This window comes from Homo sapiens, chromosome 11, assembly GCF_000001405.40.
Source record: "Homo sapiens chromosome 11, GRCh38.p14 Primary Assembly".
NCBI classification, from domain to species: domain Eukaryota; kingdom Metazoa; phylum Chordata; class Mammalia; order Primates; family Hominidae; genus Homo; species Homo sapiens.
In genome coordinates this window covers 119544027-119558685 of record NC_000011.10, presented here as the reverse complement: position 1 = coordinate 119558685, position 14659 = coordinate 119544027, and the positions used below count along the sequence as shown (strand labels likewise).

Sequence of the window (14659 nt, the reverse complement as noted above, 5' to 3'; positions counted from 1 at the left end):
GTCTGTCTGACCCCACTACTCACAGTCAATCTTCTCCATTGCCTCTGACTGGGGGCAGGCTGGGCTCATGCCTGGGGGCAGTGAACAGTGTCCGTAGATGGCCCCCTATCACTTCCTCCCCCATCAGTTCACAAAGTGTCCCCACACATGTCATCTTCCAGACCACAGTCCTCACTCCATCCTTAGAGTCCCACCCTCTCGGACTGGTGCCAGGGTGCTGCACATGGTGGACACCACATACCCCACCACAGAAAACCGAGAACTTATTTTTTTTTTTTTTTTTACTTTTTAATGGAAAATTTCAGAAACTAGTATAGTGAACTCTTATGTACCCATCACCCAGCTTCAAAAATTATCAACATTTGCTAATCTTATTTCATCTATTCTCCCCCATGCACTTTTTTCCTGAAGATGTTAAGCAAATCTCAGACATTATTTCATTTCACCTGTAAATATTTCACTGTGCATAAGGACTTCTTTTCCCTTAACCTAATTACACCATTAACTCACCTAACAAAATGAGCAATGTCTTTTTAATATTATGTAATACTCTATGTTCAAATTTCTCCAGTTGCCTGATAAATAGCTTTTCACAGTTGATTTGTTCAAATTGGGATCCAGGCCAGGTGTGGTGGCTCATGCCTGTAATCCCAGCACTTTGGGAGGATGAGGTGGGCAGATCACTTGAGGTCAGGAATTGGAGACCAGCATGGCCAACATGATGAAACTCCATCTCTTCTAAAAATACAAAAATTAGCCTGGCATTGTGGCAGGTGCCTGTAGTCCCAGCTACTCAGGAAGCTGAGGCAGGAGAATTGCTTGAACCCGGGAGGCAGAGGTTGCAGTGAGCCAAGATTGCACCACTGCACTCTGGCCTGGGAGACAGAGCGAGATTCTGTCTCAAAAACAAAACAAAACAAAACAATACAAGTCGAGATCCAAACGAGGCCTGTCCATTGCATTGGGTTGATGTCTCCTGAGTCTTTAACTGCCCCGACTTCTTCACCCCACTCCCTCCTGCCTCCACCACCTTAAATAGGTCATTGTCCTGTGAAATGTCCCACATTCTCAGTGACTGATTGCATTCTCATGATGTTATTTAACATCCTCTTCAGTCTCCCTAAAGATCTTTACAGAAGTATAAAATGGTTATATTATTCCCCTGCTTGAAACCCTTCTACAGCTTCCTGTTGCCCTGAAAAGAAAATCCATACCCTTTTCTTGGCCTTTGCAAGGACTTGCCCTTATGATCGGTCAAACCTCACCTCCCACCTCTCCACCCTCTGTCCTGTCCCCTCAGCTTTGCTCCAGTGCCCTCTGTCTCCTTTCCCTACTTTGAAACTGTAACCGGTGGAGGGTTTTGACTATGAGTTGTCCAGGTTCTTGGCATTTTGAACAAAGAATTGGACAAAATGCTGTAACAAAGCAATGGAAGAATAAAGCAATGAAAACATAGATTTATTGAAATGAAAGTACACTCCACAGAGTGGGAGTGGGCTCGAGAAGGGGGCTCAAAAGCACTGGTTACAGAATTTTCTGTGGTTTAAATACCCTCTAGAGGTTTCCCATTGATTTCTTGATTTACATCCTATGTAAATGAAGTAGTGGCCTGCAACCAGTCTGATTGGTTGTGGAAGGTGACCAGTCAGAGGCTGAACTGAAGTTACAAAGTTATACCCCTATGCAAACATCCAATTGGTTGTGGGAGGGGACCAATGAAAGCCTGAAGTGAAGTTACAAAGTTATACCCCTATGCAAATGCAGACTAGGCCTGTGACCAGTCTGATTGGTTGTGGGAGGGGACCAATCAGAGGTACTTTCCATTTCTCACCTGGGACACAAAAAGATGGAGGGTTGCAAAGGGAGTAACCTTTTGTTACTTTTGTTCTTTTGTTACTTTGGTGTGGAGTGTTGGGGTTTTCCTTTTGACTTAGTTTTAGGAAGTCAGTGTAATTGGCCTTAGGTTCCCTGCCTCCGGACCCTGTTCTCCTGCCTCAAAACCACAGGCTGCTTGCTGCCTCTGAGCCTTACAGAGTGTTTTTTCTGCCACAGACGCCACTCTTTCCCACCTCTGCCAGCAGCCACCAGCCATCTCTTCCTAATTGCCAGCTCTCCCATTAAAGTGCCCTCCCCAAGCAGTGGCCTGGCCGCCCCGCTTCAGTAGATCCCCTCCCCTAGTTGCCTCCCAGCTTAATCTTTTTTTTTGTATCCATTGTGCTTCTCAAAATTTGTAGTTGTTCTTATCTATTTGTTTCTTTTTAAAGTGTTTAACTGCCTTCTCCCCTCTCTGCCACCAAGAATGTAGGCTTCATGAGGACAAGGCTGTGTCTGTCTGGTATCTCTGAGACCTACGGCAAGGTTTGTAACATAATATTAATAGATGCCCAAGTATTTGTTGATTGATAGGATAAATGGAAGGGAGGGAGGAAGAAGAAGAGGTTTGTCTTTCCAAGAGTTCGCTATCTGGTTAGGGAAGCAGGAAAACAAAGAGAATAGAAGACCTTTCAATCAATCGATTAATATCTATTAAGCACTAACTAATAACCACCACACTTTTCCAGGCATACAGGGAATATCTTAGGTGTTAATAGTATTATGTTAAAATATAAACTGGTACACTCTAAGTGCTCCAGAGCCTGGGCGAGGGGTTTGGGTGGGAGAATATTGAAGAGGCCTGAAGGCTCTTTCCTTCCTGGAGGGCTTCAAGGGGGAGGCCATCTTGAACTGAGCCTCCATTCATAAAAAGCCCTCCCATTTCCATAGGACCCTAGGATTCCAAAGAATGCTTGTGACAATTCTCACCTTTATAGAGAGAAGGAAGTTGAGACTTGGCCATTTTCCCAGGTCCCACAGCTAGCAGGTGACAGAAGTGGGAGTCAAGCACAAACGTTGTGGCCCCTCCCCGCTCCATGCTGAGTGGACAGGCACAGGGAGGAGGAAGGCAGATGGTAGGCAGGCACAGAACCAGCAGGGGCCCAGGAGGGTGCCTCGGGAGGTGAGAACTGTACTTCCAGCCCAAAACTGTAGACCCAACCTCCACCTCCCAGATTCAAGTGATTCTCCTGCCTCAGCCTCCTGAGTAGCTGGGATTACAGGTGCCCACCACCACACCCGGCTAATTTTTGTATTTTTAGTAGAGATGGGGTTTCACCGTATTGGCCAAGCTGGTCTCAAACTCCTGACCTCAGGTGATTCTCCTGCCTTGGCCTCCCAAAGTGCTGGGATTACAGGCGTGAGCCACCACGCCCGGCCGATCCCTACCATTTTATTAAGTCTTCCTTTAGCTTAAAAAATATTTTTGGTCTTACTTACTTTTCTTCTTTTTTATTTTTGCTTTTACACGCAAGTAGGGAGACAGCAGAATCACAAAGGAGAGGCCAAGAGGGAGGTTCCCGGGCTAATGAGGCTGGATCTTGAGGCCGGGGACCCCAGGGCATGAGCTTTGGCCGCAGAATGGTCCTCCAGGAAAGGCTGCCATTCCCACTTTAAAATGACTCATTACAGTAACACAGAGATTCACAGGGCAAATGACTCTCACAGAGAAGATAAGATTCGCCCCTCCATAGCCCAGAGGGCTTACCATAACAGGGCTTTTAACTTATTTCTGGGAGAGCAAGTGACATCTTTATGAAACCATTTTGACATGAAGATACTTGATGTGGCCTCTAAAGCAGCCATTAAACTTATAGTTTGCTCTTACTGCCAAGTTACAGCAAAGCAGACTCCTCACCCCATCCCCAAATCCCACCCTAGGGGCACAGGGAGAGGCAAGCATCTCTATAGCAAACAGTTCTGGATAATAAGCCACCATCAAAATGTCTCCTGTGTCAAACTTGAGGGGTCAAAACATTCTTTCATTCAAATGTTTGGGGTTTTGGTTATTTAGACATATGAATGCTCTTTAAAAGCACAGTGCTGTTTGTGTTTTTGAAATTTAAACAAATGGATTCCTGGTATCAATTCCATTCTGTGTCTTACATTTCTTCCTTCTGGATTGCCTGTGAGATCTTCCCAGTTGCTCAATGAAGACCCAGTTCATTACTTCTGACGGCTGCGTGGTATTCCACCCTACACAAACATGTTTTATTTACCCATCCCCTAGTGAAAGACACCAGGCTGACACAGATCCAGACCAGCAGGACTGTCTCATTTTTGTACACGTCTCTCATGGGCCTCTGTGCAACTCTCTGAAGCTGTGCGCCAAGGATAAGTACCAGTGATGGGGAAGGTTCACGCATAATTTTTTTTTTTTTTTTTTTTGAGACCAGGTCTCGCTCTATCGCCCAGGCTGGAGTGCAGTGGCATGATCTCTGCTCACTGCAGCCTCCGCCTCCCGATGCGTAACTATTAATAATACAGGTTTCTCTGCAACCTGCTTGTCCTGGTTCACATTTCCTAACAACAGGGACTGAAATGTTTTCCCTTTCCCACTTCCTCACTAGTACTCGATATGATTCCAATTTTCTAATTTTTGCCAATCTAAGGGGTTAAAATGGTACTTTTTTCTTTTTTTTTTTTTTTTTGTAGAGACGGGGTTTCTCCATGTTGAGGCTAGTCTCGAACTCCTGACCTCAGGTGATCTGCCCGCCTCGGCCTCCCAAAGTGCTGGGATTATAGGCGTGAGCCACCGTGCCTGGCCAAAATGGTACCTTCTTATTTTAATTTGAATTAAAGAGATTGGGCAATTCTTTTTACAGTTATTAGCTATTCAATTGTCCACTTCAGTGAATGGCTGATTGAAATCCTCTTCCTTTTTTCCCGCCATTGGATTAATGTGTTTTTCTTATGGATTTGCTTTTATTTATAGAAGCTGGAGCATAAACCGTTGTCAGTTTTAGACTTTTCAAAATATCCACTTTCAGCGGGGCACAGTGACTCATGCCTGTAATCTCAGCACTTTGGGAGGCCAAGGTGGGTGGATCACTTGAGGTCAGGAGTTTGAGACCAGCCTGGCCAACATGGTGAAACCCCCTCTCTACTAAAAAAATACAAAAAAAAAAAAAAAATCAGCCAGGTGTGGTGGCAAGTGCCTGTAGTCCCAGCTACTTGGGAGGCTGAGGCACGAGAATCGCTTGAAGCCAGGAGGTGGAGGTTGCAGTGAGCTGAGATCACACCACTGCACTCCAGCCTGGGTGACAGAGCCAGACTCTGTCTAGAAAAAACATTTAAAAATCCACTTTCACTCTGTCATCCCACTGTTAACTTTGTTTATACTGGTTGTCATTTGTCTTTTTTTTTTAACAGAAATCTCTAACGTTGATGTAATCAAATCCATTTATTTTGTGTCTAATGGTTTGTGTATTTTTTTATTTTTAATCTTTTCAAAGAAATATTAACTTGAATCTTGACTGATAAAGAAAAAAAGAATAAAAAAATACTAACTCTGAGGTTCAGAGTTATTTTTATTTTTAGTTATTTATCTATTTATTTTTTGAGACAGGGTCTTGCTCTGTTGCCCAGGCTGGACTACAGTGGTGCAGTCTTGGCTCACTGCAGCCTTGACCTCCCAAGTTCAAGCGATCCTTCTACCTCAGCCTCCCAAGTAGCTGGGACTACAGGTGTGCCACAACACCTAGCTAATTTTTTTTTTTTTTGGTTGAGATGGGGTGTCATCATTTTGCCCAGGCTGGTCCTGAACTCATGGGCTCGAGAGATCCACCTGCCTTAGCCTCCCAAAGCACTGGGAATACAGGCCTGAGCCACCATACCTGGCCAGAGTTATTTTTAATACATTTTCTTTTATTAATATTATTGTTTATAATTTTACTTTTCGCATTTAGGTCTTTCTCCAGTTGGATTTTTTTTAAATGTTGTATCAAGTAGGAGCCCAACTTAACTTCTTTCCAAAACTGTGAACCGCTCTTCCTGACACTCTGTACTAAGCAACTCATCCTTCCCTCACTGATTTGTGATGTGTCTATCCCGTGCTGCATTCCCTTGTAGTTTTTAAATTCAGACTTGTTTTTGTTTACTAAATTTATATATGCATGTCTACATCTGTCCCTAGTCTCTTACACTGTTTCTTCAGCCTGTTTATCCCTATGCCAATTACACACTGCTTTTACTATTATGACCTTGTCATCATAGTTTGATTATCAGCAGAACAAATGTTGCCTCTTTGTTTTTCCTTTAAAATTGGATTTGCTATTTGTGGATCTCAATTCTTCTCTACAAATTTTATAATCAAGTTGTTTAATTCTCCAAAAACCCTCCTGGAATTTAATTAAATGTAGAAATTCATTTGGGGCTAATAGGCATCTTTCCAAGATTAAATCATCTCAAACATGGATATAGTACTTCTATTTATTTAGGTCTTTTATATAATGGCCTTTAGTAAAGTTTACTTTTTTTTTTCCTTTATGCTCTTGGGCCTTCTTTGTTATGTTAATTCTTAGGAACTTTGTGGTCTTCATTGCCATTATCAGAGGCAAGTTTATTCTCCTTTCCAGGATCCTGGGAGGGGCTAGAAAAGTGCCTCTATCATTGTAAAAGTAAAAGTAAAGTATTTTAACTACAATTTAAAAAGTAAAGTATTTTACTTTTAATTAAAAAGTAAAGTATTTTAACTACAATTGGTTAAGGCTGCTGTCTCTTTCCATCCCAAGTTCCCCTCCATAACATCTCCCCTAAACGTCGGACAGCACTGGAGTGATCACAAGTGCTTTGGAGCTCCAGCTAAGAGGAATTTGAGATGGGGATACACTAACTTGGGGTTGATGGGATGTATTTATGTGCCTCAGGATCACATCCAAGTCTCGTTAAGTCACGGCTAGATGTCTTGGTGTCAGAGTGACTTTCAGAAATTCCTGGAATTCATTCCAGCCACTCTCCTGACTCACTGGATATCTGAACATAAAAGTGCAAAGATAGCATTTAATTTTTTTAATGTTGCTTTTCTGTTGTCATGCTCATTATATTTTTCAGTTTTTAGAAATTATAATTAGTTGTGATTTCTATCTCTAAATAAACATTTATTTTATACCTAATTTGAATCTGTAGTTTTATTTTATTTTTCTGAAAGACAGCTCCCCAAATTGCACAATCTTCCACTCCTCCAAACTCGGATTTGAGCCAGGCCTGGTGGGTCACACCCATAATTCCAGCACTTTGGGAGGCTGAGGCAGGCAGATCTTTTGAGGTGAAGAGTTTGAGGCCACCCTGGACAACATAGTGAGATCCTGTCTCTATTAAAAGAAAAAAAAAAGACACCTGGATTTGTCCATGGATATTATCAATGATATTAATGTTTTCTGTATTCAAATTTCTATTTTGATTTAGAATCCGGCAACCTTACTAAACTCTCTGAATAGTCCTAAAAGTTCATCTGTTGACTTGTTTGGGTTTTCTCATTAAATTATTGTATCATCTGCAAATAGTGACTATTTTATCTTTATTTCTAATATAATATATATATATTAATACAGGGTCTTGCTCTGCCACCCAGGCTGGAGTACAGTGGCACCACCTCGGCTCACTGCAACCTCCACCTTCCGAGCTCAAGCGATCTTCCCACCTCAGCCTCCCGAGTAGCTGGGATTACAGACTACAGGCACATACTACCATGCCCAGCTAATTTTTGTATTTTTTGCAGAGATGGGGCTTTGCCATATTGCCCAGGCTGGTCTCCAACTCCTGGGCTCAAGCAATTTGCCCACCTCAGCCTCCCAAAATGCTGGTATTACAGGCATGAGCTACCACACCTGGCACCAATATTATATTTTTCATTTCTTTTTCTTGACATATTGCATGGGTCATGACCTTCATTATTCTGTTGAACAGCATAGCAGTGACAGTGGATGTTACTTTCTTGTTCCCGACCTTAATAAGAATACATAAAAAGTGTCTTCTTTAAGCATGATGTTTGCTGCAGGGTTTTGTTAGCTAATTTTTATGAAGTTAAGAAAGCTCCTAGTTTCCTTAGAGTTTTTTAAAAGCTCAACTTTTAGTGTTGAACTTTATCAGAAGTTTTTTGCATCCGCTCAGGAGACCCTATAATTTTTCTCTTTTATTCCTTTAAATCAGGGTTGACAAAATGTAGGCTGTAGACCAAATTGGGTTGCTGCCTGTTTTTCACAATGCTTAACTGGAACAGAGCCACACCCATCATTTACATATTGTTTATGGCTGCTTTCACACTACAGTGGAAGAGTTGCATAAGGAGACAGACACCAGCTAGCCCACAAAGCCTAAATGATTTATTATCTGGCCTTCAACAAGAAAAACTTGTCTAACTTCTGCTTTAAAGTGATGGATTACATTGATATACTATACTTTCTAATACTGAACTACTTTCACATTACTGAAATAAATCCTTTCCATTCAGTCTATTTTTTTCATTGTAGCATAAACTACTTCAGGAAATTACACAAATCTTAGATGTACAACTTGATGAATTTCTACATATGTATACACATTTAAATATCACTCAGACCAAGATTCTGAGTATTTCCAGCAATATAGTAGGCTTTCTCATGCTCTCAGCCAGTTTACACTGCCAACCCTCTCACCCTCAAGGTAACAATTCTGAACTCCCTCGCTACAAATCCATTTTCCTATCTTAAAATTCTTAGGAATGGAATCATATAGTATGTGGTCTTGTGTGACTGACTTTTTCACTGAACAGTAAGGATCCAATTATACTATGTATGTCAGTAGTTAGATGTTTCATGTTATTTAGTATTATATTATTTGAAAAATTATGTATTAAAAATAGTTTTAGATTCAGTTGATACCTTACTGAAGCTTTTTATACCTATATTTGTAAATAAAAGTGGCCTAGGCCGGGTGCAGTGGCTCACGCCTGTAATCCCAGCACTTTGGGAGGCCTAGGCGGGCGGATCACAAGGTCAGTGGTTTGAGACCAGCCTGGCCAACATGGTGAAACCCCGTCTCTACTGAAAATACAAAAATTAGCTGGGCGTGATGGCGGGCACCTGTAATCCCAGCTACTCGGCGGGGCTGAGGCAGGAGAATCGTTTGAACCCAGAAGGCGGAGATTGGGTTGCAGTGAGCCAAGATCATGCCATTGCACTCCAGCCTGGGCAACAAGAGCGAAACTCCATCTCAAAAAAAAAAAAAAAAAAAAAGGGGGCCTAACATTTCCTTTTTATATTGTATCTTTTTCTTTTTTGGAATCAAGTTTATACAAGTTATATCAAGTTCATGAAACAGCCTGAACAGCTTTCCTTCTTTTCTATTTCTGCAACAATTTGTGTTACATACCAATTAGTTGGGTTTTTTTCTTCCTCTACCTCAGCTTTATTGAGGTATAATTGGAATATGAAACACTGAACATATATAATGTGCATAATTAGCTGTCTCTTCAAATTTTGGTAGACCTTACCTATAAAATATCCTGAGCCTTTGGACTTTCAAGGTGGCAGGGAGATTTTTATAATTACCATTTAAATCTGTCTATTTTGCTATTAGTTTTCTGTTTATCTTGTATCAATTTCAGCATTATATATTTTCCAGAAATTTGTGCATTTCATCTAGGTTTCCAATGTATATAGTTGTATATGTGTATAATTTTTCTAGTATTATTTTATGTTTTAAAATATTAGTTTTAGCCCCTGTTTAATTCTGTAGTTTGGTTATTTGAAATGCTCTCTTGTGTTCTTGATGTTTCTTTTATCAGCATTTTTAAGAAGTTTATTTTGTGAGTGTTTTCAAAAAAAATTTGTTTTTACTCATCATTCTTATTGTTTTTGTTTTTCTTGATATCGTTCTCTACTTCATCAACTTCTGCTCTTACCTTGTCATTTCCCCTTTTCTTGTTTGTTTGGGCCTTCTCTTCCAGGTTTGAGTACATATTTCTTTTGTTTTCAGCCTTTTTTGTTTTCTGAGAGATTTACTTAAAGCTATAAATTTTCCTGTTGCTATGCTTTAGCAGTATTGTTGACATGTAGAGTTTTTTTTGACATTCAATTCTAAGTAATTCATAATTTCCGTTAAGATTCCCTCTTTAATCCAAAGGCCAGAAAGTAGTATGTTTTTATTTTTCAGACATAGAAGATATTTTGGCTATTCTTTTCATCTCTTCCCACCTCCTGTCTCTCTCGACTACTATCATGTTGATATTATTTGGATTTTTGCTTTAGATGTGATATATATGCATCATTTATTCAAGCATCAATAAAATTTAATAAGTTCTTTTCCTTGTTTTTTCTTTTATTTATTTATTTATTTATTTTGAGACAGAGTTTCACTCTTGTTGCCCAGGCTGGAAAGCAATGGTGTGATCTTGGCTCACTGCAACCTCCGCCTCCCAGGTTCAAGCGATTCTTCTGCCTCAGCCTCCCAAGTAGGTAGGATTACAGACGTGTGCCACCATGCCCGGCTCATTTTGTATTTTTAGTAGAGACGGGGTTTCTCCATGTTGGTCAGGCTGGTCTCGAATTCCCGACCTCAGGTGATCCACCCGCCTTGGCCTCCCAAAGTGCTGGGATTACAGGCTTGAGCAACCGCACCCGGCCAATAAGTTCTTTTCCAATCGTATTTTTCTTGTACTACCTCTTAGAGTCACCTTATATTATTATTATTATTATTTTGAGGCAGAGTTTTGCTCACCAAGGCTATAGTGCAGTGGTGCGATACTAGGTCACTGCAGCCTTGATTTCCAGGGCTCAAGCAGTCCTCCCACCTCAGCCTCCTGAGTAGCTGGGACTACAGGAGTGCACCAGCCCACTTTTTTTAAATTGCTAAAATACATTTTTCATGCAATCTTTGTGCCTGCAAATAACTTTACTTTGGCTTCGTATTTAAATTAATATTTAGCAGTGTTATGGAATCTTTGGGGTATCATTTTTCTGGCCAGAAACCTCTGTGGCCAGTGGCACCTTTGCCCAAGTTTTGTTCAAGAATGCTGGGCCTGTTTCACCCTCTTGGCCTGGTGGGCTGTGCTCAGCTCATGCTACTGGTCTGGGTCCCATGCCTGCCAAGAGCAAGTCAGGCGTGGAATGGTGAAAGGTGTGTGAGCGAGTATGGGGTCCAGCCACTGCTCACAGTCAGACATGCCAGCTGCTGCAGTGGGGTGAGCAGCTCCAGGTGCTGTCATGGGCATCGGCTCCCTACGAGGCTGCAACTGGACCAGGTGCACAGCAAGCAGCTTCCACACTGGCACTGGGGAACACAGTGGCACCTGGACACTTGAAGACACCAGGAATCGCAGGGCCCCAAAGAGACAGTCACAGTCCTGGCTTGGGTAGCTCCCAAGTCTGGGCTACCTGAAGGGCCGCAGCTCTTCTCTTCTTTTCACTCATAATGTGGCAAGCAAGAGGCATGTTTCAGCCCTGTTTGTGTTACAGTTCTTTTAGCCCCACCATTTGATGGGTCCTGAGTTCCTCTCCTGTGACCAGGAAGAATGGGGTACACAGACAAGTGGAGGGTGAGCTAGATGAAGAGGAGCTTTATTGAGTGATAGAACAGCTCAGTCTCCCCCAGGGGGCAGCTCCTTTCCACAGCCAGGGTGTCCCAACAGGTGTTCAGCTCCTAGCAGAGAGGAGATCCTGGAGAGGGAAACTCTTCTCTGCAGGCAGGTCATCCAGTTGTCTCTGCAGCTGTCAGCAGAGAGGAGGCCCTGAAGTGGGTTGCTTCCCTCTGCAGCTGGTCGTCAGACATCTTCTCAGCTCTGGCTGAGCCTGGGGCTTTTATGGGCCTCAGAGGGGAGGAAGTGCATGCTGATTGGTCCATGAACGACCATAGGCAGGTGGAAAAGGCACCTCAAGCTCCCACTGCAGTCCACAGGACTGGCAGCCCAGCCTTTAGCCTTCAGGCCGTCCCTGGCCTGAAGGTGGGGGCCCCACTGGGGAACCACCCCCTTCTGCCCAGGAACCTGTCTGCCTCCTGCTGCCTTTCATGGCGCCCAGGCTGTTTGTGCCAATGGATGCCTACAGGCCAGTGCCAAGCTGCCCTCACCACCCCCTTGGCTTCCCTCCCATGCTCATTGATGCCCAAAGTCCAGAAGGGGCCAAGGTGGCAGAGGGCTGGTATGTCAGCACTGCCCCAAGCATGTGCACACCCAGCTGGGCTGTGACAACACCCAGACTTGGCCCCGACCTTGCTCCAAGATGGGAGCCAGCACTGACAGCGGGGAGAAGCAAGGCAGCAGGAGTAGGCACTTCCAAGCCTGCAAGGGCAGAGGGGGTGGCGAGGTCTTCTTGGGCCCCTAAGAGCATATGGAGGCCTAAGTTCACAACCCCAACTTGGGCAGCTGCAGCTGCACCTGGGAGGGCAGGGCTGCTGCCTGCTTCTGGCTCCAGCCAGCTCTGTGGAGCATGCAGCCCTGGCCATGCCCCCCTGGCAGCCTGGGGCAAGGGCTGCAGTCCTCACTGAGCCCAGGCCAGAGTTCAGGGCAGGGGCGGCATCACCACAAGCTCCCAGCATTGCCCTGGTGCTCAGGGGCAGCCCGAGGCAAAGTGGATCTCGGGACCTGGGCCCAGCCAACTGGAGTGTCAGGCTTGGTGGTCTCCCATCACAGGGTGGACCCCAGAGACACAGACCAGGCGGCCCCTGGTGGCCCCTCACAGAGCCTCCTCCTGAGGCACAGGAACCTGGCATCCTTGGGGTATGGGTACAGTGGCTGTGCCGCTGGCCGGTCCCCAAAGCAGGTGCCACTCCTACTTTCCTCCCCAGACCCTGAAGCACGGCCCCGGCTATGCACCCCAGGCCTGGTCCCCCACCCCCACCCCCACCCCACTCTGTGTGCAACCACAGCACTGGCCCCAGCCCAGCTCTGCCTCAGGGCCTCCCTCTTCTCAAGGTGGTGGGCTGTGAGGGGGCTATCTGCCTCCTCCCAGCACCCTCCCTGCAGCAGCCAACATGACGGCAGCAGCTGCTCCAGACAGTCCACCACTGCTATCAGCGGTATATAAAATTCTAGGTTCAAATTCTTTTTCCCCAACAGTTTCTAGATATTGCTTATTATTTCAGTGTCCATTTAATTCTCCTTATTTGTAGGTGATATTTTTTTTTGGAAGCTTTCTGTCTTTGTTTTTGATGTGCTTAAATTTTACTTTAGTACCAGCAACAAGCAGAATTTGAAATTAAACATACAATATCATTTACATCCGCACTCAAAAAAATGAACTACTTAGATATAAATCTTTCTCTATATATGATATATATGATAAGAATTATAAAACTCTGATGAAAGAAATCAGAAAGCTAAATAAATGGAGATATATTCCATGTTCATGAATAGGAAAACTCAATATTTTCAAGTGGTCCATTCTTCCCAACTTGATCTATAGTTCACTGCAACCCAGTTAAAATCCAAGTAAGTTATTTTGTGGAGATTGACAAACTGATTCTAGAGTTTATATGGAGAGGCAAAAGACCCAGAATAGCCAACATGATATTGAAGGAGAAAAACAAAATCAGAGAACTGACACAATCTTACCTCGAAACTTACTATAAACCTACAGTAATTAAGACAGTGTGGTATTGGTAAAAGAAGAGGTAACTAGATCAACAGAATAGAATAGTGAGCAGGACATAGACCCACATAAATGTAGTTAACTGATTGTTGATAAAGGAGGAAAGGCAATATAATGGAGACAATTTAGCCTTTTCAACAAATAGTGCTAGAACAACTGGACACTCCCATGCCAAAAAAAAAAAATCTAGACACATTCACAAAAATAGCCTTCATGAAAATTAACTCAAAATGGATCACAGAAACTATAAAACTCCTAGAAGATAACATAGGAGAAAATTTAGATGACCTTGAATTTGGTGATGACTTTATAGATATAACACCAAAGCCACAACCCATGAAAGAAATAATTAATAATCAGGGGTACATTAACACTGAAAACTTCTAGGCTGGGCACAGTGGCTGATGCCTGTAATCCCAGCACTTTGGGAGGCCTAGGTGGGTGGATCCCTTGAGGTCAGGAGTTCGAGACCAGCCTGGTGAAACCTCATCTCTACTAAAAATACAAAAATTAGCCGAGCATAGTGATGCATGCCTGTAATCCCACTTATTCAGGAGGCTGAGGCACAAGAATCATTTGAACCCAGGAGGCACAGGTTGCAGTGAGCCGAGATCACACCACTGTACTCCAGCCTGGGTGACAGAGTGAGACTCCATCTCAAAAAATATATATATTTAAAAACTTCTAAGCTGGAAGTAGGACACATCCATTGTCCCAGTTACTCCAGAGAGGTAGGAGGCTCGCTTGAGCCCAGAAGTTTGAGACCAGCCTGGGAGATATAGGGAGACCCCCATCTCCAGAAAGGAAAAAAAAAAAACTGCTCTGCAAAAGACACTGTCAAGAGAATGAGAAGACAAGACACAGACTGGGAGAAAATATTTGCAAAAGACATATCTGATAAAGGACTACTATCCAAAATATACAAAGAATTCCAAAAAAACACAACAATAAGAAAACAACCCGATTAAAAAATAGGCAAAAGATCTAGACACCTCAGCAAAGAAGATACACAGATGGCAAATAAGCATATTGAAAGATGCTTAGCATCAGATGTCATGAGGAAGTTGCAAATTAAAACAATAATGACATATCATTACACACCTATTAGAATGACCAAATCCAAAACACGGACACCACAAAATGCTGGTGAAAGCAGGGAGTAATGAGAGCTCTCATTCATTGCTGGTGGGGAGGCAAAAATAGAACAGTCACTGTGGAAGACA

General features: G+C 43.2%; 1 annotated feature.

Annotated features, from left to right (window-relative positions):
- Window positions 11360-12073: an enhancer, noted in NCBI's record as "H3K4me1 hESC enhancer chr11:119417323-119418037 (GRCh37/hg19 assembly coordinates)". NCBI's record gives its function as "activates a minimal SCP1, AML or CMV promoter by ChIP-STARR-seq in naive H9 embryonic stem cells {active_cell/tissue: H9 hESC(naive)}" and the evidence as "EXISTENCE:reporter gene assay evidence [ECO:0000049][PMID:30033119]".